General features: G+C 36.7%; 1 protein-coding gene across 3 annotated transcripts in view; it reads right to left on the bottom strand.

The window, feature by feature from the left end:
- Positions 1 to 23,099, bottom strand: part of COL6A5 (collagen type VI alpha 5 chain) — a 139,175-nt gene that overhangs the window by 7,408 nt on the left and 108,668 nt on the right. Inside the window, exons 37-41 of one of the 3 annotated variants that reach the window (NR_022012.3) lie at positions 21,773 to 21,984; positions 7,958 to 8,644; positions 6,472 to 6,568; positions 5,513 to 5,757; positions 300 to 402 (exon numbers count right to left, since the gene is read on the bottom strand). Coding sequence is in view for 2 of the 3 variants with exons in the window: in NM_001278298.2 (NP_001265227.1) it covers positions 5,513 to 5,757; positions 6,472 to 6,568; positions 7,958 to 8,644; positions 21,773 to 21,984 (1,241 nt within the window). In the remaining variant the exon portion in view is untranslated. The remainder of the gene's footprint in view (positions 1 to 299; positions 403 to 5,512; positions 5,758 to 6,471; positions 6,569 to 7,957; positions 8,645 to 21,772; positions 21,985 to 23,099) is intronic. The other 2 variants (NM_001278298.2, NM_153264.7) reach the window with 2 other exon arrangements.

The following is a 23,099-nucleotide window of genomic DNA, read 5'->3' as shown; positions in this document are numbered from 1 at the left end:
AGAAATATATAATGAAAATTTCAAACAAATGGACAGGTGAAAAGAAAAGTTCAATCTCTTTAGGAAAACAAAACATGAACAAAACAACATAAAGTGATAATTTGATATAATGGATTTATATTTTTAATTGTCAAATAGATGATCAAACTTAGATAATTCAAATAGGGATAATACTAGTTGATTATATTCCACGCATAGTGTGTACTTTGAGCTTTATATGCATCATCTTCAACTTTTCAACAACTCAGAGATAGATTGTATTATTTCTGTTTCATGGCCTAACTTTAAGGTAAACTTACGTTCTATAAACATAGAGTATGAATCACTATGACGAAAGTATTGGATTAATTACTGAATTCTTAGGTAAGATGCTTCAGATGTCTGTAGCTTCCATTTCCTTATCTGCAAAAAGACAAAGTACAACTCAGTGATTCTCAGTCATTAAGCTTTCATGAGTGCAAGAAAAAGACAAGCTGATATTTTCTGAAGAGACTCAGATTGGCTTCAGGGAGCAGGGCTGGCCAAATATAACTAACCCAAGCTGCTGGCTAGAGATCTGTGAGAAAAAGAATTAAAGACATCATTTATTTCTAGATGTATATAATATCATTACAACAGAAAAATGCAGAAAACTTTTGGAGAAAATAATGAAGAATAATAACAAACAACAAAGACGCACACTTGATGATAATCCTTTTGATTCTACCAACCTTATTATTTTCAGCAGCAAATCACCTTGAGATATCTAAAGCTGTCTAACAGGAATGATTCAACCAGGATTTATAGCAGTGTTTTGCAAACTTGAATGCACATTGAAATCACCTGAGAGCTTCAAAAAACAAAACAAAACAAAAGAACTGATGCCTGTGTCTTACCTCTAGAGAATGTGACTTAATTGATATGGGGTGTGGGCTAGACTTTGGACTTTTCAAAAAAATAACTAGGTGATTCTAATGTATAGACAAGTTTGGGAATCACCAATTTACAGGGTTCTTTCCTGTGAGTAATTTTTAATTATATCCCCTGCTATAAACTGAAATGTGTCTCTTGCCCACAAATTTATACAGTGAAGCCCTAACCCCATGTGACTGTATTGAAGATAGGGCCCTTAAGGAGGCATTTAAGGTTAAATGAGGTCATAAGGGTGAAGCCCTGATTTTACGGAACCGTTACTCTTATAAAAAGAGAAAGAGACACCAAGATCCTCTTTCTATCATGTGAGGACAAGGAGAGGAGGCAGCTATTTGTAAGCCAGGAAGAGAGCCCTCATCAAGAACCTTATAGGCTGGCACCTTGCTTGGGCTTCCAGCCTCCACAACTATGAGAAAATAAATCAATGTTATTTAAGCCACCCAGTCTATGGTCTTTGTTATGGCAGTCCAAGCAAACTAATATACCTCCTCTTCAACCCACCCTCTCTGTTTCTGATCTACCCCTTATTCCTTCCTCCAGATGTTGGTAAAGCATACTGAATCAGAAGTTACCAAAACAGAGTCACTGGCAAGGCACTAAACCTCTTTGAACCTCAGTTTCTCCATCTGTGTACTAGGGATATTAATTCCTGTCTCCCACACAAGGGTTTTAAAGGGAATCCAATGAGATAATGGGTATGAAATTACCTCACAGACAGTACAGCTATTCACATGAGCAAGCTGTGTCTGGTGCTCACCACTTTCTCTTACTCAGCCTTCCTCCCTTTCAATCACCCATTTGATTTCTCATTTGTGTCCCTTCCTTAATTTCACCTGCCCAGTATGTCTCCTGCCCACTGGGTCACCAGTCATTTGACCTCACTCCAACTCCCTGGCTGTCACATATTTCTCCTTTAGGACAGGTCTGCTGGTGAGAAGTTCTCTTAATTTTCCTTCATCTGAGAATGCCTTTATTTTGTCTTTATTCCAGAGGGAGAGGGATATCTTTATTGGATATAAAATTCTGTGTCCATAGTTCTTTTCTTTCAGCACATTAAAGAGAAAAAAAAGAAGTTGTTCCACTGTCTTCTAGCCTTCATGGTTTCTGATGAGAAATCTACAGTCATTTGAGTTGTTCCCTTATTTTGTCTCATAGTTTCTTAGCTGCTTCAATATTTTTTTTCTTTATCCTTGGTTTTCAGCAGTTTGATTATGATGTGTCTGAATTTTTTTTTTAGCTTTTAAAATCTGTACATTTATATCTTTTACCAATTTGGGGGGATTTTTGGTCATTATTTCCTAAAATATTTTTTCTGCATGAATCTTTCTACTTCCCTTATGGAATTCTAGTGAAACAAATGTTAGACCCTCTGATACTCAACAAGCCTCCAAGGTTCTGTTCGCCTTTTTCGCAATCTTTTCTCTCTTCAGTTTGTATAATTGCATAATTAATCTTTCTTCAAGTTCATTGACTCTTTTTCTTTTCTTTTCTTTTCCTTTTTTTTTTTTTTTTTTTTTTTGGAGACATGGTCTTGCTCTGTTGCCCAGACTGGGGTGCAGCAGCATGATCATAGCTCACTACAGCCTTGACCTTTGGGGCTCAAGCAATTATTCCACCTCAGTCACCTGAGTACCTGGGACTATGTACAAGTGAATGACACCACATCCAACTAATTTGTTGTTGTTGAGATGGGGTCTCACCATGTTGCTCAGGCTGGTCTCAAAATCCTGGGCTCAAGTGATCTGCCCACCTCAGCTTCCCAAAGTGCCAGAATTACAGGTGTGAGCCACTGCACTCAGCCTCTCACTGACTCTTTCTTCTCTCATCATCACTCTGCTATTAAGCTCATCCAGTGAATGTTTTAAAATTTTAGATATTGTATTTTTTACTTCTAAAATTTCCTTTGGGTTCTTTTTTGTGATTTCTATTTCTCTGCTTGAAAATGTCTATCTTTCCATTCATTTCAAGTTATTTACCTTTACCTATAGAGCATACTTATAATAGCTACTTTAATGTCTTTGATCATTAACATTAGAGTCACCTTGAGGTTGGCATGTTGGTTGTCTTTTTCTTTGAGAATTGTTCACATCTCCTGGTTCTCTGTATGTTCCATAATTTTGGATTGTATCCTGAACATTTTGAATATTATGTTGTTTAGACTCTAAGTCCTGTTATGATTCTCTGTAGAATATTTTTGTTTTAGCAGGCAATCATCTCAGGTTCAGCATGCAAGTGCTGTCTGATTGTCTGTGAGTAGCAGTCACAGTTTAGTTTCTAGGGCCTTTGCTATCCTTTTTAGGGTCTTTCTCATACATGTACAGTTTAGGGAAGGGTCTGAGACTTATATAGGTCCCCTAATTCCAAGTAGAGTATTCCTTTGTTCAGCTCTCTTCTCCCTAAGGTTACCCACACATGCTGGCCCACAAGGTCTTCTTTTCCAGTTTCTCTGGCCATAAATGTGACAGACTGCCACAGTTACTACTTGAGACTGTCACTATGGCAGTTACTGCTGTTACTACTTGAGATGTCATTACAAGTTACTACTGTTACTGCTTGAGACCATCATTGTGGGACTGAAGGAAGGGACAAACACAGAAATGAAAACTTAAGACAAAAGAAACCTTTAAAGGAAGGGGAACCAGGGAAGAAGAAGAGAGCTCCCTGCTTCTAGTGAGCAAAGGCAGCCCCTGAGCTTCCACCACCCTTCATATTTATTGAGTAGCAAGAGCAGGGAGGAGGAGGTAACGATTGGTCAGCTGCTTAATTGATCACAGGTTCATATTATTACTAACAGGCTTCAGATGTACCTAATCACAAGAAACACTTGCTTTTGGGGCATGACTGCCCTCAGCATTCCTTCTGGGTGGCATACGCAGTTTGTCAGTTTGTCAACATTCTTCATTTATGAGAACAGTTTGCTCTGTACTCATATAGCCTCCAGTGGTATACTGAGTTAATCATGACCCTGACTCTTTTGGCCTTCAACAAGAAAGAAAGGGTTTCTCTTTAATTTTAAGTGTCTAGCTTTCCACTTAGCTGCCAACTGATGCCTGCCTTCAAAGCAAACCCATGACAGAAAAGGGGGAAAAAAGCAGGATTTCTTTAATGCATGGGGCCTCTTTTCCTAGTTCTTCTGGCCAAAAATATGGGGTTTCTAATGAGGTTTAGACATCTACTTCACTGCCACACAGTTCCTGTACTTAGGCTTGCCCTCAGCATAAAGCCACATAAGAAAAGAGAAAGGAAAATGGGAAACTCATGGCCCTTCACAATATACTTGCTTTTGCTTACTTTTCAGAGCCCTCAGGTAGTTGCTTTTTGTATTTCATCCAGAATTTTCAGTTGTAATCAGTGGAAAAGATAAGTGACATGGGCCTATTCCATTTTGAAACAAAAATGAACTTATTCCATTTTGATGAGAACCATATATTTCAATATACTTATATTTAATTTGTATTTTATTATATCTATCTTCTCTCTCTCTTTTTGTCTGTATTTTTCCTATTTTTCCTATATTCACTTCTCTTATTTTCCATCATTTTGCTGATTTTGTTCTCTCTACAAATAGATATATCTACAATTATACCCATATCTAAAACTATATATATGTTTATGTATGTGTGTATATATATTTATAGCTTTAACTATATCTATATTTATAAATGTGTATATATATATATATATATATATATATGTATACACACACATATATAAACTTTTTTGAAGTATACATATATGCCCCTATATGGGATTTTATTATATAAATGTCCCAAAATTTATTTTTTAATTCTGCTGTTGAGCATTTTTGTTCCCACTTTGGGGCAACACAAATAGTGCTTTTATAAACATTTTAGTACATGATTTTTGGTTAATATGTATATTCCTATAGGGTATATACAATGAAGTAAAATTACTGGGTCACTGGATATACATATTTTCAGCTTTAGTAGATACCAAGGAATATTTATTTTAAAATCATTTCCCACATGACTCTGGGACACAGCAAGGACTGTGAATCGCTGCCCTAGAGCCAATAGCTTCCGGCTGTCCATCTCCTGTTTTGCTTTTAGCTGTAGGTCCATTTCTCCACCCAGCCTATGGAGCTGCCCACAGTCTCCACACAGATCTCAGAACCATGGTGGCCTTGTCCTCTCCAGGTCCCACTGAGGCTGAGGCTCAGCTAAAGGCCTACATCTCAAACCAAGAAAACCCTAGTTGTTAAGGGAGAGAGCAGATCTCGAGTATTAAAACTCTGGAGGCTCCTTGCACAGTTCCCCTTCACCCCGATTTTGCACAAGGATGCAGGACTGCTCCTGCTTACTTGAGACCTGCTATCCTTGTTCTTGCCCCTCCAACTTCCCCATTCCCTGACTCCACACCAAGCATTTATACCTGCTTGTAATTCGAATATGTCAACAAAGACTATTTTTTGCCTTTCTGAAGTTTTATCTCCCTTGGATCCTTAGACGATAAGCCCCTCTTTTATCCTCATCCTGTCATCTCTACCTCTCCCAGTGAATTCTAACTGCTCATCTTCCACCAGGGGAAAATCCAAACAAAGGTACTTGAGGGTCTTCAGCTCTATGGTACTCACGATTACCTTCTTTTTCTTGCTGTTTATCAACCACTAGAGCTGAAATTTCTTCTAAATGTGCTTTTTCCTTGTCTTTCATTGCCAGTTTCTCAGTTGAAAAGAGCAGATATAACTTCTGCATCAAATCAGTAGCTGTCTCAGAACCACTACTATGATTGTTCCCTAATACAAGGAGATGTTGTGCCTGGGAATCAAATTCATCAAACAGATCACCATTTTCTGTCTTTATTTCATATATCCCAGGAAGAAGTCTGAGGTAATAGAGAAGAGAGATAAAAAATTAGTTAGCCAAGTCCCCTGCAAGATTAAATGTGAATACCACCAGATAATATAAGAGGAATCCATTTTATGTATGTGATTGGAATAGTCCAAGTTCAGTCCATGAATGAAATTTGACTTGTGCAATTTTCTAATATTCTGAAGGAAACTTAGACATTTGTCTCCGCAGTTTAGAATTCCAAACCAGTATAATTTCTATCATTAAATTTTTATTGAGTACTTAGGGTTGTACTTTGTAAAATCAAACTTGAAAGAATCCTTCCTGCCAATCTTCATATGTGTTTTGCTTTCTAAATGGCCAAATATTTTGTTTTGTTTTTTATGTTTTTATTCTGCTCTAAAATTGTTACATGGAATCTTTGATATAAGTTTTCTGTTTTGGCAGTACCCAATATTGGAGTTATGTTATCTACTTACTGAGAAGTTACTAATAGGAGGCTACTTTTGGTAAAAGAAACAGAAATGGAAGCAAAGTTCTTTCAAATATAAGTCCTGTTCTATCTGCGATTAATTTCAGACCTATGCTATCATCACAAACGAGTAGCATTTAAAACACACACACACACACACACACACACAAAAACACACACTTGGATCTTGAAAACTAAAATGCTATTCATTTCACAGTTTTCTTAAGAACTGTTTCCAGTTGTGGTATTACCCAAACTTGGAATTTCTCAACTCACAATACAGTGTTTTCTGTGCCACCGTTCTCTGGGTTGGGAGAGGTCATGTTAACACATGTGGCTTTCATATCTTCGGTGGGATATTTGTTGATGGCACCTGGAGAGAGAGTGGGCTGGTTAGTCTAAATTTTACCCACCTACATTATTATCTCACCCAAAGTCAGATCATGTTTTCACGTGGTTGGCAGTGTTTTCAAGAACAACTTTTATAACGGACTTCACAAAATAGGCACACTCTGACATGGAAATTCTTTGTTCTTGGCAAAGTCAAGAAGATACAGCCAGTCATTGAATAAATAATTCCAATGCTCTATCACAAATTTGTGATATACTTTAAGGACATCTCTAAATTCTTTCTATCATTTCTTTCTCTCTCTATAAAAGGAGGATCTTTCTAGAAGACTATTTTTTAAAAAATGTTTATATTTTATTTTTTTTTTAATTATACTTTAAGTTCTGGGAGAAGACTCTATTAGCTATTGAAATTGTCTGCCCTACTTATCTTCGGGTTGGGAGAAGGCACATTTTTACTTGCTACTAAACATAACTGCTAAATTCCAAGATTCCTGCGAACTGTGTAAGCCCTGGGGCTTTATGCATGCCAGAAAACCTGCAACCTTGTGATTCTCTAGTAAGTTTACAGGAGCTGCAGAGACCATTCAAAGTAGCCTCTGCCACATTCCTAATTCCCAGCACACGCTAGGACTTGTTTGATCTTACAAGGTTTTGGATGTGCTGCTATATGCATGTCTAAAGTCATAACACATGGGCAGAGGCTGGGGCAGCCACCCTTAAAGCCCCACTGTGTAAAGACACCCTAAAAAATCCCTACCAGCTGTCTGGCATAGAGGCTGTAGAGGAGATTTGTCCCTATGGCTCATAAGAATTCAAGTCAGAACTTAGGTTAATTTATAATGACAAGACAAAATAGAAGTCCTTGGAGTAGGTGGAGGGCAGTGTCAGTGTGATATTATTTATTACACCATTACACCTTGCTAAGGGTTTAGTAATTAAAGTGTGATTTACTAGACAACAGCATAGCCCTGGGGTCAGAATGTGAGGGGTTGAGTCTAGAATTTACTAATTATTACTTGTGAGATTTTAAGCACTTTATTTAACATTTCTGAATCTCAGTCTTTTCACTTGCAAAATGGGGTTATGAATACTTTCCTCTGAGGACTGCACTGAAGATTAAATGACACAATCAATTTAAAGAACCTGCCACATAGTAAACACTCACGGGTTAGGGCTAAAGGGCACTTTTCATCCATTTGAGGATTTCCTGGCTAAAACTTTGGCAGCACAGCAGCAAGGCTCATGGTCAAAAAATCTGGGAATTTTCTCTGAGATTTTTTACTGCCTCCTACTCACTTATACTCTACCACTCTTAACTGAAGTGAGGATCATTTTACTAAGTCTGCTGATGGACTGTACACAGAAACATTAAATCTATTGCAAAAGCAATCAAAGAGAATTAATGACTTACGTCTGATTAAATGGACAAATGGCTTGACAAACTTGATGATATAGTTCCAATCTGGCTTGTGGGTTCGGCCAAGTTGGACCAAGTGATGATCCAGAGGGTGGCTGGCTAATTCTTCTAATTCTTTGTCATTGTGTTTAGGGCCAAAGGAAAACACAAATATGGAGTAGCCTTGACACTTGGCTCTCAGAGACACATTCCTTAAGACGTCTTTGTCTAAAGAGTTGGTTTCGCCAGCAGATATTACAAAGATAACTTTGTTTTTCCTCAGATTGGGGGTTCCTACAAAGACATTGTCAATTGTCCACTGCAAGGCATGGCCAATAAAAACATCTCCATTGAGCTGTTGAGAGTCTTGGAGATGATGTTTCATTTGGTGTATACTGTTATAAGTAACCAAATCAAATTCCAGGTAGACAGGGCATTCTTCAGTGTTAGGCATATAGCCTGGAGGAGAGTAGCTCAGGACAGCAACCCTGTCTCCTAAGGTGGAGGTCAGTGGAGTGGGGGCAATGTGAAAGTAATCAAGCACTGAGGTTATAAAAGCTTTTACTTCCTTAAACTCATCACTTCCTACTCTTTGGGAAGCATCTATGAGGAAAGCCACATCCATGTAATATTCTTGAAGAGAGACATCTCCAGGTTCATAAGTATGATCTGGTTCTTCTTTTCTGCCATAATTTTCATGTCCTGCAACAGAATAACTCAAGTCATTCTTTTTAATGGAAAGATAAGCTTGGAGCTCCTAGTCATAGATGGCAAATACACAGCATGAGGTTATTACCATGCTGCATTTCCATACTCATGGCAGACATCAATAATCACATTGCTTGTTCCCAGATGCACCCTCCAAATCTGTACCCACATAGCGCATGCAGAGCCATTACCATTTGACATGTATTGTCACATAAGAAAAAACCCATTTGCTATCCTATCTCAGATCTTTGTGAAAGGACTGATTTATCCTCCAGCTATTTTAATATGCAAGTTGAGAAACACTCATTTTTAATGTACTCCACATGGCTAAAAAACTTGAAGTACACATGTGCATGAAATTTAATTATATGTAATAACCTCAAGAGAAAGTATAGATATTAAAGTTACATTTATTGGTAGCAAAAGCACAAAAACCTTTATATATGTGTTCAAAGTATGCACCATAGAGCAATGTCATGAGAGCAAGTATAAACAAGTGCTGATTTTGGAATCTAAATGCTGTGTGAGATATGACATACTCTAAGAACCTGGTACTCAAAGTGCCTGCAAACAGTTCATCAGCCCATTTTAAGGTAAGCAGTTTGCACCATGATGTAAGTCAACTAAATTACTAAGCACACTGATTAGTTCAGCTGACATTTATTTATTTATTTATTTTCATAGCAAGACTTTCTCCTTGAAGAAAACATTGCCTTGATTTACATTCCGAGCCAAGCTTCTTATCTTGCTGCAGATGAGCACTTCAAGTAGCTCTGCTCTAAGCCTAAGGGATCATGAAGCCTGTCTACAATCATATGAATGATGGCTGATTGGTGAGGCGTCAACAGGAAATGCCAGTTTGGAAAGACAGGAAGTAGATGGCCAATGTTCTTTGCTTCTATGAAAGAAGTGAATTTGTGAACCTAATCAAGCAAAAAGTAGATTTTTAACTGCCAGAAATTTATTGATCTCCATTTCTACTCAACCCTTTATTAGATACTTTTACATTAATTCTCACAACAACAAATGAGTCAACCTGTATTAATGCTGTAAGCCTAATATAGAAATAAAATGCCAGAAAAATACCCCACCACCATGGGTGAAGTTATTAACAGTGAAATGCTATATTAGATAATTTTTGATGGTTAAATGAGCCCTGCCTTCCAGTATAAATTCCATATTATCTCATTACAAATCTATTGTTGGATTTAACTTGCTAACATTTTCTTTAGAATTTTGCATCTGTGTTCACATCCTTGTGAATGATGTTCTGTAGTTGGTCAGTAGTTTCCCTTTCATGTAATGTCTTCGTCTAGTTTTGGTATCAGGGTAATCTGGCCTCAAAAAATGAGTTGGGAACATTCCAAATCTACTCTTCTAGCTATTTTGAAATATGCAATAAATTATTGTTAACTGGTGTTAACTTTAAAATATATAATAAATTATTATTAACCATGAGAACACTAGATCTTATTCCTTCTAATAAGTATTTTGTGCCCATTAACCAGCTCTTCTTTATTCCCCCCTCCCTATTAGCCTTCCTAGCTTCTGTTAACCACCATGTTATTCGCAGATATCCCAATTATCCAGATTTGATCATTACACATTGACTGCTTCTATCAAAATATCACATGTACCCCAAAAATATGTACAACTATTATGTATTCATAAAAATTAAAAATAATAAAATGAAGTAAGTCAGTTGTGAAATATTCCCTTTTCTTTTATGTTCTGGAAGAGTTTTTGTAGAATTGGTATTATTTCTTCCTTAAATTTTTAGTTGAATTCACCAGTGAAATCATCCATACCTGGAGTTTTCTTTATGGGAAGATTTGAACTACAAATTCAATCTCATTAATAGGTATAAGGCTACTTAGGTTATTTCTTCTTGAGTAAGCTTTGGTAGTTTATACATTGCAAGAAATTTGTGTATTTTACCTAAGCTGATTTATATGCAAAAGATTGTTCATAATATTCCCTGGTTATCCTTTTAATATCCTTGGAATACATCTCCCCTCTCATTTCTGATATTGGAAAGTTGTGTCTTCTCTTTGTTCCTGGTGAGTTTAATTATACATTTATCAATTTTATTGATCTTCTCAAAGAAACAACTTTTGGGTTTATTGACTTCATTGTTTTTCTTTTTTCAATTTCACTGAATTCCACTTTATTTTCATTATTTTCTTTCTCCCACTTACCTTGGGTTTATCTAGTTCTTCCTTCTCTGATTTCTTAAGGTAGAAGTTGTGATCATTGATTTGAAACATTTCTTCTTTGTCAATATAGGCATTTAATGCTATTTATTTTCCCGTAAGTACTGCTTAAGTGGAACCTGAAATTCTGGCACAGTGATTTTATTTTCTTTTATTTCAAAATATTATACTTTCTAATGTCCCTTTTTATTTATTCTTTGACCATGGACTATTTAAAACTGCTTTATTTAGTTTCCAAATACTTAGGGAGTTTTCAAAGATCTTTCTGCTATTGATTTCTAATTTAATTCTGTTTCAGTCAGAGAACACATTTGCTATCACTTGAATCCTTTAAAATGTTGAGCATTGTTTTATGGTCCACAATATGGTCTATCTTGGTAAATGTTTCATGTGCACTTGAAAAGATTATATATTCTACTGTTGGTGGAGTGTTCTACAAATGTCAGTTAGGTCAAGTTAGTTGATAGTGTTGCTCAAGCCTACTATATTCCTGCTGATTTTTAATCAATGATTGGGAGAAGATCCTGAAACTAACTAATACTCTTTTCATTTTTTATATCTTTTTTTCTTTGTATTTCATTTTGGAGAATTTCTATTGCTATGTTTTCAAGTTTGCCAATCTTTTTGTTTTGCCAAATCTAATTTGCCATTATCCCATTCAGTGCATTGTTCCTCTTAGACACAATGGTTTTCAACCCTGCAAATTCTATTGGAATCTTCTTTTTATATCTTTCATGTTTCCACTTAACTTTTTAACATATTGAATACCGTTACAATGACTGGTTTGATATCTTTGCTAATTCTAACATCTGTGTCCGTTGTGGTTTGGTTTTAAGTGATTATACTCTTCATTATGTTTTGTGCTTTTCTGCTTCTTATGCCAGACATTGTGAAATTTTCCTTGTTAAGTGTGAAATACTTTTGTATTCTTGTAAATATCCATGTGCTTAGTTCTGGAAGGCAGTTAAGTTGCATGGAAAGAGTCTGATCCTTTTGGATCTTGCTATTATGATTTGCTAGATGAGTCTAAAGCAGTGGTTAATTCAGGGCTAATTATTTCCTATTACTGAGCCAAGACCTTCCTAAGTTTTCTCCCCATTACTATGTGAATTATGTTCTTTTCCAGGCTTGCTGGTGGGAAAAAAAACATGATTCCTAGCCCTGTTGAGCAAATGGCACTATTTTAAGAGGGTTCTTTCCCTGGTCTCAGGTAATTCCTTCACATGCATGTGCTGTCAATACTTTCCTGAATAACCCAGCGAGACCCTCCACAGACCTCTGGGGTTTACTCTCTGTACAGTTATCCCTCTCTGGTATCCCACCCTGTCAGCTCTCACTGCCTTGGTCTCCCTGTTCTCTCAGCTCTGACTCCTCAGCTCCAGGAGCTCACTGGGCTCCTCCTCAATGCCCTCTTCTTGTACCATGTCCTGAAAACACTCAAGGCTATAAGCTGGAGCACTTGTAGTGTTCATCTCATTTGTTTTCCTTCTCTAAAGATTACTGTATTTCATTTCCTAATGTCCAGTGTCTTAAAAGTTGTTATTTCAAATGTTTTGTTTGCTTTCTTTTGTTTATTACAGTTGTGAGGTAAATCCAACTTCTTTACTCCATCTTGGGCAGTTCTAAAAGATGACAACTGACCATCTTGTTTGAGATGCTTCTTTTGCTTCTTGCAAAGGACTAAGAACTGGTCATATATACACCACATTCTTCCTTTATCAATACATACATTTATAGTAATTGACCAGGATTTTGCATCACACAAGCATGTTTGAAATTTATGGGCCTCCTACTCTCCACCAGGAACCCAGTGGCAAACTCTTAGAATTCCTGGTCAAGATTGAGGTCCCTGATTAAACAACAAAACATGAAACTAGAAGTGCAGACCACAGCACATATTTTGTATTCTTTGCACATCACCACCAAAAACACTTCTAGAGTTCTCAGCCATAGTGTGTTAGGAATTGTGAAGATTAATTAAATGAACATTTCTAACTTTTTGGAGTTTGTGATCCTTTTTGGAGTTTTGAAGTTGACTAACCATTACCTGAGATGTTACCATGATCTCTGTTTTTCAACTACAGTATTTCAATTTCTTTAAAAAGGCCAACCAACACACTTTGTTAAACATAAAGAAAAGCATTGCTGGGTGTGGTGGCTCATGCCTGTAATCTCAACACTTTAAGAGGCAGAGGTGGGAGGATCGCTTGAGGCCAGGGGTTCAAAATAAGCCTGGGCAACATAGTGGACTCATCTCTGCAGAAAATTTTAAAAATTAGCTGGGTGTAGTGGTGTGTGCCTCTAGTCTCAGCTACTATTGAGAGGCTTATGCAGGAGGATCGCTTGAACCCAGGAGTTTCAGGCTGCACTGAGCTGTGACCACACCACTGCATTCCAGCCTGGGCAACAGAGCAAAATCCTATCTCTAAAAAGAATGAAAAAGAAAAAGAATTTCATAAATGTTCTAGTAGAAGCAAAATAATTAACTTACCATGTCAGTGAAATATTGTTTTCTGCAAGCCCATATCAAAAATATTACTGTTTTTCCAGTTTTCTCTTTATAAATAAGCAAAATCTCAATCCTTTTCTAAAATACCCCTCAGAACTATTTTCTAAAGAGGTATATTTCATCTACAAAATGTCTAAAAATAGGTTACCTCCCAACTTATAGGACTAGCATGAGAATCACAGAAGCTAAATGTGGATGATGTACCTTGAAAACTCTAAAATTTAGTCAAAGGTGTGATTATTCTACTTGGAGTCTAAATTCATCTTACTTAGGGAGACAAGGTCTTCAAAAATATTTTCTTTCAAGATAATCTGGCAGAAGTGTGGATAAAATATATCCATAGCTCACAATGGCGCTGTGTATTTTCTGGAAATGTCAACCCAGCCAAATTCTCATCTTCAACTCTGTGAAAGAATTTCCTTAGAATGGCAGAGGAAGGGGAGCTGGCTTGCTTTCCTATGGGCAAGATTTGGAAGGAATTAGGGATTCAGCAGAATTTCCAGGGAAGCACCCCCAGAGAGTAGCCTGACTTTGGCCAATGACTTAAGCCACAACACCAAATGTGCTCCAGTAACATTAGGGAGAAGCGGGGGTGGAAAGGAAACTTAGAGAAGGGAGACTCTGAAGGACTTGGGCCATCTGGACTGGGATTAGATATGCTGTCAGGCTGCTATGCTGCCTTTCATGGCATTTGTGGGAAATCTCAAGATATGCATGAGTTATCCAGTGGCCTGCTTTGAAATTTGAAATTTGTTCAGGGGCCAAAATTAACCATGTGTTCTTCATAGGCAAGCCACATGTACAATTGAGGCTACTTGATGTGTGAGGTTCTGTCCAGATGAACTGTAGCTAATATTTTTCAAGTTGACATTTTTTACAATGACTTCCCATGAGATTAGCAGTACTTTCTTTTGGCTTTTCTACTTTCTTAGTATTTAATCAAACACTCAGTTTGCTTCGGGTCTTGTGCTCAGCTCTACGCTTGTCTTCTTTCATTTAATCTTCCTTGAAGCACTATGAGGGCAGAATAATCATCATTTCCATTTTACAGATGAGCAAACCAGTGCTTGGCAAGGGTGAATGAGTTGGCTAAGAAAGGATGGCTGATAAGTGGTAGAGGCAGGATTTGAACCCAGCTTTGTCTAGCTCCTTCAGAAGAACTGGTCATTAGAGATGAGATTCTAGCAGAAACATGAAAGGACCCATCAACCAGCTCACTTAAGGCCCTGGGACCTGGTGTGAAAAATGTGCTTCTCAGCCAATGGCTGTTCCTTCTGATTGAAGCCACCAGAGAACGTTTTCTTCCAAAAGTAAGCAACTATATACGAACTAAATGCAATTTGTAATTTTTCTCTTCTTAGGCATTGTAGAACAGTGATTATCAGCAGAATATTCAGAGTTTCAGTCCTGCCTCTGTCATCTGTTAACTTTGTGACCTTGAGTTTTCTCCATGCCTCAATTTCATTATCTTAAATATATGTAACAATATACTACAATCTTACAAGGTTTTTGAGAAAATTAAAGTTTGCACCATGCTGTGCATATCCTAATTACTCCACAAATATAATTTTTAGAAAGAAACAAAGAAAAGTCTCAGGCATCTGAAAATCCTTCCCATGACAGTATATTATCCAAACCAGGACTTCCACGAAAAAAGCAAAGTCAGCTGGTCTAGCTTACAGACACATGCACAAGTGTACAGATGCTCTCAGAAACGAGAACTCTCATTCTGTTGTGCTGACGCATGCTTAACTTCAAGGAGTAGGCAATCATTCATACCCCTCTCCACTTATCACTGCCAGCCCAGGCCCATCACCCTTCCTGTCTGGTAAAGTCACTGGTCAAGTTCTAAAGGCACGTGTTGGGGCAACAAAGGAGGCAGGCACAAATATGTATGTATCTGATGGATGTCATCGATTTTATGCCTAAGGGAAATATAGACACATTAAAAATTATCTTGTTTTGCTGTTTGAAGTCCTCTTCCCTCATCTACCTGAATAAGTAGGAATGACTGTCTTAAAATAGACTTCATCCTTTTCTCCGAAGACTTAGAATTCATGTCTTTTTGGCCTAGACTTTTCTAGGTGGCATTTAGATGATAAAAGTGAGCCTTGTGGGTCATTTCACACTCTGAAACAGTAGTCTGCAGAAAGGGACCAGCACACTGAGAAAAGGCAATGCATGCCTTAGGAGTCATTTACACCCAAATGACCTCGGATATGGCTTGTTGGTTTTAATGGAGTTATTCTGTGCTCCATGCCTCTGGATGAGTTTATAAGAAGGTTTTTTTTAAAAAAAAAAAAGTTAATTTAAATTTAAAAATAGAATTGTGCCACCAAAACTATTTTAAAATAATTCTCCCAAATGATTACATGATTTTACATGATTTAGTTTATATTCAAATTTGGCCATTGGATATATCTCCTCATTTGTAAATGCAGAAATGACCATCACCAGGCAACATGGCATACATTGTTAAAAGTCCATGTTTTTGTGTTGAAGGTCATGTTTTTGGATCCTGCCTCTGCCACTTACAAGCTACATGAATTTGTGTGAGGTTCTTAACCTTTGCATCAGTGTCTTCATTTGTAAAAGGAAATAATGATAGATTTAATTTAATAAAGATTAAATAAAATAATGTCTATAAAGTGCTTATATGGTGGCTGGCCCATGGTTGCCCTCAATAAGCAGTAGCTTCTGTGATTACTATTATTCCTCATTCATTGTTCATCAGTCAAGTGATACAGTGTATGCAATACTTTGAAAGGTGTCCTGCATAGAATAAATATTGATCCCCCCAAAGCATGCCACTTTTTTTTAACTGAACTCAATACTTCCTGAATTGTAGTAGTCATTTTTTATACACACAGAATATACCTGACAGACGAAAAGCTTCTTGAAGACAGAGCTTACGTCTGAGTCTTTTTTTAAATCTCCCTGATTTCCCCAAAAAGTCCACTTCAGGGCTTAATTCAGAACAGGACCCAAAGACATATTTGTTATATGAAAGAATGTCTGAATAGTTAAGGAAAACTCCATGCAAAAATTTAAGAGTCTTTTCATATAGTAAGCCCTCTATGAGGGCTGCCATCATCCAACCAACTTGCCGTCACCACTACCACCACAGCCATCACCACCACCACCACTCTCACTACCACTCCACCATCATATCTTACTTCCATCACCAGTACCACCACCACCACCACTGGCATCATTACTATCACCTCCTCACTATCACCATTATCACTACCACCATCACCACCCCACCTTCATACTTTTATCTCCATCACCACCACCTCCACCACCACCAATATTACCACCACCACCATCCCTACCACCCACCTCAACCACAACCATCAGCAACAGCAAACACCTTCACTACCATCATCTTCACTACTACCATGACCAGCACCAACACTATCATCACCACCGCCTCCATCACCATCACCACCATTGTCACCTACTTAATACTTCAAGTATCCACGTTTTATTCCATTAGAAAGGGTCACATAACATAAAATGTCACCAACACTCTAGAACATTCATTAGTTGCAACAAATGATTGCACAAAACATACAGAAGCAACATCAATGTACGTCTGAATTCAGATAGTCCACTTATTCTGAACCCCCAGTTTACATTCATCTTGTTCACATGTGAAACCTTCACAGAAGACAATCAAAACTATAATGACAATATTAATAACAAATTGCCAAGCAAAAGGAAATGTAAACATCTCAGTCTACAGCTTAAAATGAGGTAATGGGAGACTCAGTTTATTCCACAAAGAGCAACACAGTGGTTGAGATTTCTTAATGATTTCATAAAACATGTTATTAAAATCCAGACATTGCTACAATTCTGCTGCTGATTTCTTCCTTGAAAAGTGTACTGATAGGAAAGCAGAACATTCAGCTGATGTTCCTTGGATGACTCAGAAGCCAATACTGCTGCATTTTATTCTAGTGCAGATTTAAATTTAGCCCAAGTAAAAATATACATTCAAGTTTGATACATGACAGCAAAATTGAGAAGGAATCCAAGTATTCAAAAAAAAGTAAATGGTCAAATACATGCATTCATTCATCAAAAGGAACATTTTGAGAACATTTAAAAAATCAGTATGAAGCTTATGGCAATATAGAAAATGTTGTGACATAATATCATGTGAAAAGCAGGATATGCAATTAAATAAAACTGTAAACCTATATGCCCACGAAAAAACAAAAGAACATACTCTGCATTAAAAAAAAACTCAATTTGCTAAATTGTTTGATTTGAAACTTGGTATTTGAATTTTTATGTGGTATAATAGTACTTTTATCATTTGTAAAAAAAAAATATAGTAGAATCTTGGACATGTAATAAGGGAACAGCAGACAGGGTGTAGAAGTAGAGAGCCTGTCTAGTGAGTCTGCCAGTTCCATAAACTTGGGGGCATGAGGTTTCTTCTAAAACATTTCCCTTAAAAGTGACTTGATAATTCATTGTTGTGAGGGGCTGTCCTGTACACTGGAGAATGTTTAGCAATGATCTCTATTCACTAGATGCCAGTAGTGTCCTCCAGTTTTGACAATTAAAAAAATGTCTCCAGACGTTGCAATATATCCCCTCGGGTGGGGTAGGGTAGAGCTGCTCCCAGGTGAGTTTTTACCAGGTCATCACTAATACCCTTCCAGTTCTATTATCTTACGATTAATTCAAAGCAAAAAATAAATATATTGGCTCTAAAAACAAAACAATTTATAAATCAGAATAAGAGTAAAGTTAGAAAAATTAAAAACAAAACCTGTGTAAATTCCCTAAAGCATAACTCCAGCTTAGTCTGAAGGCTCAAGTGTTGCTTCTCATTTCTTAATGAGCTCATTGAAACGAACATCAGTTGAAGTTATCCTAAGGCCTGGGGCTGCTTAAAGCTAGGAGCAGGGCCTAGGCTGAGTTTGGGTTGGTACTTAAAACGCGTTACAAATTATTCTGTTTTTTAATTCTGAAGGTAGATTAGCTGTATCTTAAGTACTGGTTAATACAACATTTAAAAAACATTTCACAAGAAAACATCTGCAAGCATAGTACAGCATCTTTGGCGAAAGTGCTAATTTACCAGTGGGTCAATAGTTGAAATTTAATTAGAATTAAACTACCCATTTTAAAATTACATAATTTCAAAGAACAAAGTGCATTCTGTTGGCAAGTAATTAGAAGGGACTGCATGTTGCAAGGGATTTTTATATTGCAGATGTTATGTTCAAAAAGCCTGTTAGTATCTCTCGATAATCTCTACATATTTAGATCTTAAGTGTGTTTTGTCAGATAGATGTTGGATGGATAGATGGATGTTCTTGAATAAGATAAAATTATAATCTACTTCACCTGGAACTCTTTAGCAACACAAATTCTCATTTCTATTCTGTGATTCTAGATACCCAATTGTTTTCAGCTCCATTGAGAGCACAGATTAAATCTGGCACACCAAAATGGTCAAACATGCAGTGGCCCTTAAACTTCTGCCTACATCAGAATCACCTGAGCTGCTTGTTAAAACCCAGATTGCTGAGTCCTGCTCCCAGAATTTCTGATTCAGTAGTCTAGGACAAGTGCTGAGAATCTGCATGTCTAATGAGTTCCCAGGTGATGCTGATGCTGCTTGTGTAGGAACAACACTTTGAGAACCACTGACATAGTTGATCTCAAGCTTGAGGGCATACAAATATTACCTACAATGGTTATAAAGTTTGTAGCTTTCTCCTCCTCATTCACACTCCTAAATATGAAACAGTAGTTATCAGGAGGGCTTAGGAATCTGTGCTTATAATGAGCTTCCAGATAATTCTGATATAGGTTGTCCTTCGGCTGCTTTAAGTAAAAGGAGGGCCAGGAAAGGTGGTAGAATTGAAGATAATTTCAATTCAAACCAGAGCAGATGGGGAGAAGAAGAGAAAGAGGTATAGGTAGGAAGATAGTCAATGATTGTGCTTCTTTTGAAAGAGGGTGATACACAAGTCATTGCCAGCTCACAGGACTCTGGGTACTAAAAATTTCTTACATGGTTAAGATTCCTGACTTTTCCCAGCCTCTCAGTTTAAGAGCAGAAAGCTCAGCCATCAGCCATAAGAATTAGATTATGAATGGGTAACAAACACAGCATATGGAGGTGCTTATGAAACTTATCAACCTTTTATTTATGCCATACATCTGGAACTTATCAAAGCTCATTCTGAGTGACTGAATAAAATATCTGAACTACAACTCACTCTACAGGACAGCACACTATACAGAAAACTCAGCAGTTTTTGGCAACTGGCTAAAGATGATTGAAAGAAAGAAAAGAGAATAGCACGAAGTTCCTAGAAAACACTTATGATCTGAGACTCACATTTATTTTAAAGGATTAAAAAATACACATTATCCTTCTGTCTGAAACGCTCAGTGTTTCCAGGCTACCCCAACCTGACATAATCATCCCCAGAACTCTCAGCATACTTCAACTCACTGTAGGAGAAACTGGGTGGGGTAGGATTTACATTTTTTTCCCTGCTAGAGCTATGAACAATTATTTCTTCAGCCAAATGGGACCTTACACTAACTATACAGATCTTGATTCTCAGAAAGCTGAAAAAAATCAATGAAAAGTCTTTCTTTTATACTGAACATCAGTCATTAACAATGACTGATGCAAAGATGGCCTTCTTTGCTTCATTTCTTTCATATCCAGTCATATCTGTCTTTCCTGAAAAGGCTCATGCTTCTAAATTACCAGACTTTGGAATGCTTAGCTCTAACAAAGCTATCACAAATGACAATTTGATACTCTAACCCTCTACCAAAACACCTCTTCTTCTCTTTTTTCCCCTTTTTAAACCAAACCATAATAAATTATTGTGCCTTGAAGGCTACTCTAATTTGCATGTCATTAAAATGAACATGCACAATTAACATCCATTAAAAAGTACAAATCTTCAATTTTCTTCTTCAGGCTATGTCTACATGAAAATAAAAAAAGTTTTAACTAAAAAAATACACATTTGAATGTCTTAATGCCATGGTACTACATGTATCTAGTTTTACTGCATCACTACTTTTTTTTGAGCTAAGATGCCTATTTTTCAACTAATGATTGTCTTTTTTATCCTTAATTGTAGCTTCTACAAAGGTAAGTTTAGCTGTTTTAAAGATAAGGTTCGAGTATTTATATTTTAGAAATAATTGTGGGGATGTAAGTGTTAAACCCAAGAAAAAAAATTTTATCCCAGGAAGCTACTAAGAATGAATATTATAGTACAAAACTGGCCCCTTTTTCTCTTATACTTATGTACTCTAACTACCATATGATACTTTTGGAACAGTGCTTAAAATGCTGACATTCTGCCAAACAAGCATTTTAGAAGATTCCAGATGCATAGATGGAATGGCTGAATAGTCTCTTTGGAATTAAAAATACATATATTTTTAATTTATATGGATATAGAGTAGGTGTATATATTTATGGGGTACATAATATGTTTTGATACAGGCATGCAATGCATAATAATCACATCATGGAGAACGGGGTACCTCATTCTTATCATGGAATGATGAGAATCATCATTTATCTTTTGTATTACACAATCGAATTATACTCTTTTGGTTATTTTTAAATGTTTTTAAAATTATTGACTATAGTTACCCTGTTGTGCTATCAAATAGTAGTTCTTCCTCTTTTTTTCCTTTTTCTCTACCCATTACCCATTCCCACCTCCCCTCACACTTTTTAATGAAAATATAGACATACTCCTTTGTATCTGATTTGTTTGAAATTATTACATTTTTACAAAAGTTATTGCTTTGCCATTAAAATGTATAGAGTAGGCATCAAGGGAGTTTATGTTCTATCATTTCTGGGTACCACAAAAATAAAACATACTTTCTTATATTATCACAAATTCTGGAACACTGGCCAGACCAACTTTAAAAAGTCATTTTAAAGAGAATCGCTTGAACCCGGGTGGCGGAGGTTGCGGTGAGCCAAGACCACACCATTGCACTCCAGCCTGAACAACAAGAATGAAACTCCATTCCTCCCCCCAAAAAAAAGTCATTTTAATCCCTCCTTTGTTCTGATGTTCACTATACTGCTTCCTTCTACATCATACTAACCTTCTAAACTGTGGATGCTAGAGAAATCTTAAGCTTGGTAAGAATATCAGGGACATTTCTGAGAGGTTCTATCAGTGATCTCCCTAGCAGTGCCTGTCACCATTCACTTCTTCAATTTCAATAAAAGTAGAAGTTGTATCTACCATAATGAACTTTAAAAAAAGTTGCTTTAGATACCAGCCTTAATTTATTTGATTTTCTACTAGTGTTAAAAGATGAGGATCCTGGCTATTTAAACATTTCCATCATGACTTTTCATTTTCTTACCAGAAGTGAGACTTGCAATTTCTGCAGATTTTTGATCTTTTTCATAATTGATCATTAATTTTTGTGGCTCAAACATTTGGCTTGGAAGGTAAACCAAATAGTCACTTCCATTGTCTTCCGTCTTTACAAAAGGTGATTCTCTCCCAGAATTTAATTCTTGGCCAATGAAGCCATTACCTCCCAAAAAATCCTCTTGTAGCTCAGTAACAAATCTAGAAGAAAAAAAAACTTTAGGTGAGTCTAGATAACTTTAGAGAAGGAGGCAAATAAAACATCCTTAACATTTAACATATTTAATTATCTCCTTAAAAAACCAATTGGGTGGTGAAAATATAAATCCATTTCAATCAAATAATTCATTGAGATTCATTATACATATTATTTTTTAAAACTCTGATAAGATTTTCTACTTATTCTACCTTTTCTCACAACTGTCTAGAGCCTATTAAGTACTACTTTGGAATAACCAAGTTTGATTTGTGCAGAGTTTTATTGTTTGTTTGTTTTTTTTTTTTTGAGACAGGGTCTTGCTCTTTTGAGACAGGGTCACCCAGGCTGGAATGCAGCGGTGCAATCACAGCTCACTGCAGCCTCAACCTCCTGGGCTCTAGCAATCTTCCCACCTCAGCCTCCTGAGTAGCTGGGACCAAAGATGCATGCCACCATGCTGGGCTAATTTTTAATTTTTTGTAGAGATTGGTTCTTGTTGTATTGCCCAGGCTAGTCTCAAACTCCTGGGCTCAAGTGATCCTCCCTCCTCAGCCTCCCAAACTGCTTAGATTACAGGTGTGAGCCACCATGTCCAGCATTTTCAGAGTTTTAGATAAGTGAAAAGAAACTCACAAGCATTTGGAACAATCATATTATATCTCAGATTGATACCAATCACCATGGAAAATGCAGAAAATACTTAATCTACCAAGCACTGCTGTGAGAAAGTAAGATTATATAAAACATAACCCATATCAGTGCCTCTTAAAATAGTGTCTACATTTATAATCATAGCAGTTTAAGAGTTCTCTGTGATAATTTGAGAATTTTGTGTTTTTATTTGGATGATGTTATAAAACATATTCAATAGAAGTTTATTCTTGATTATGCAATTTTATGTAATTTCAATGTCCGTGTTTGCATTTGCATTTGATACTGATGTTTGGCATCCAGTAATATGATTTTAACTGTTGAGAGTTAATGAGGAGAGGAAGAAAAGTCAGATGTAATACATAAATAATACATTCACACCAAGAGAAAATCAAGTGACATCACGTGTGATGGCACACTGTGTGAATAATTTTGCAGTAGTGCAGGTGAAGATATGTGGTGGAGA

The sequence above is a fragment of the Homo sapiens genome, chromosome 3 (genome assembly GCF_000001405.40).
Source record: "Homo sapiens chromosome 3, GRCh38.p14 Primary Assembly".
NCBI lineage: Eukaryota > Metazoa > Chordata > Mammalia > Primates > Hominidae > Homo > Homo sapiens.
This window is presented reverse-complemented; position numbering and strand designations above follow the sequence as displayed.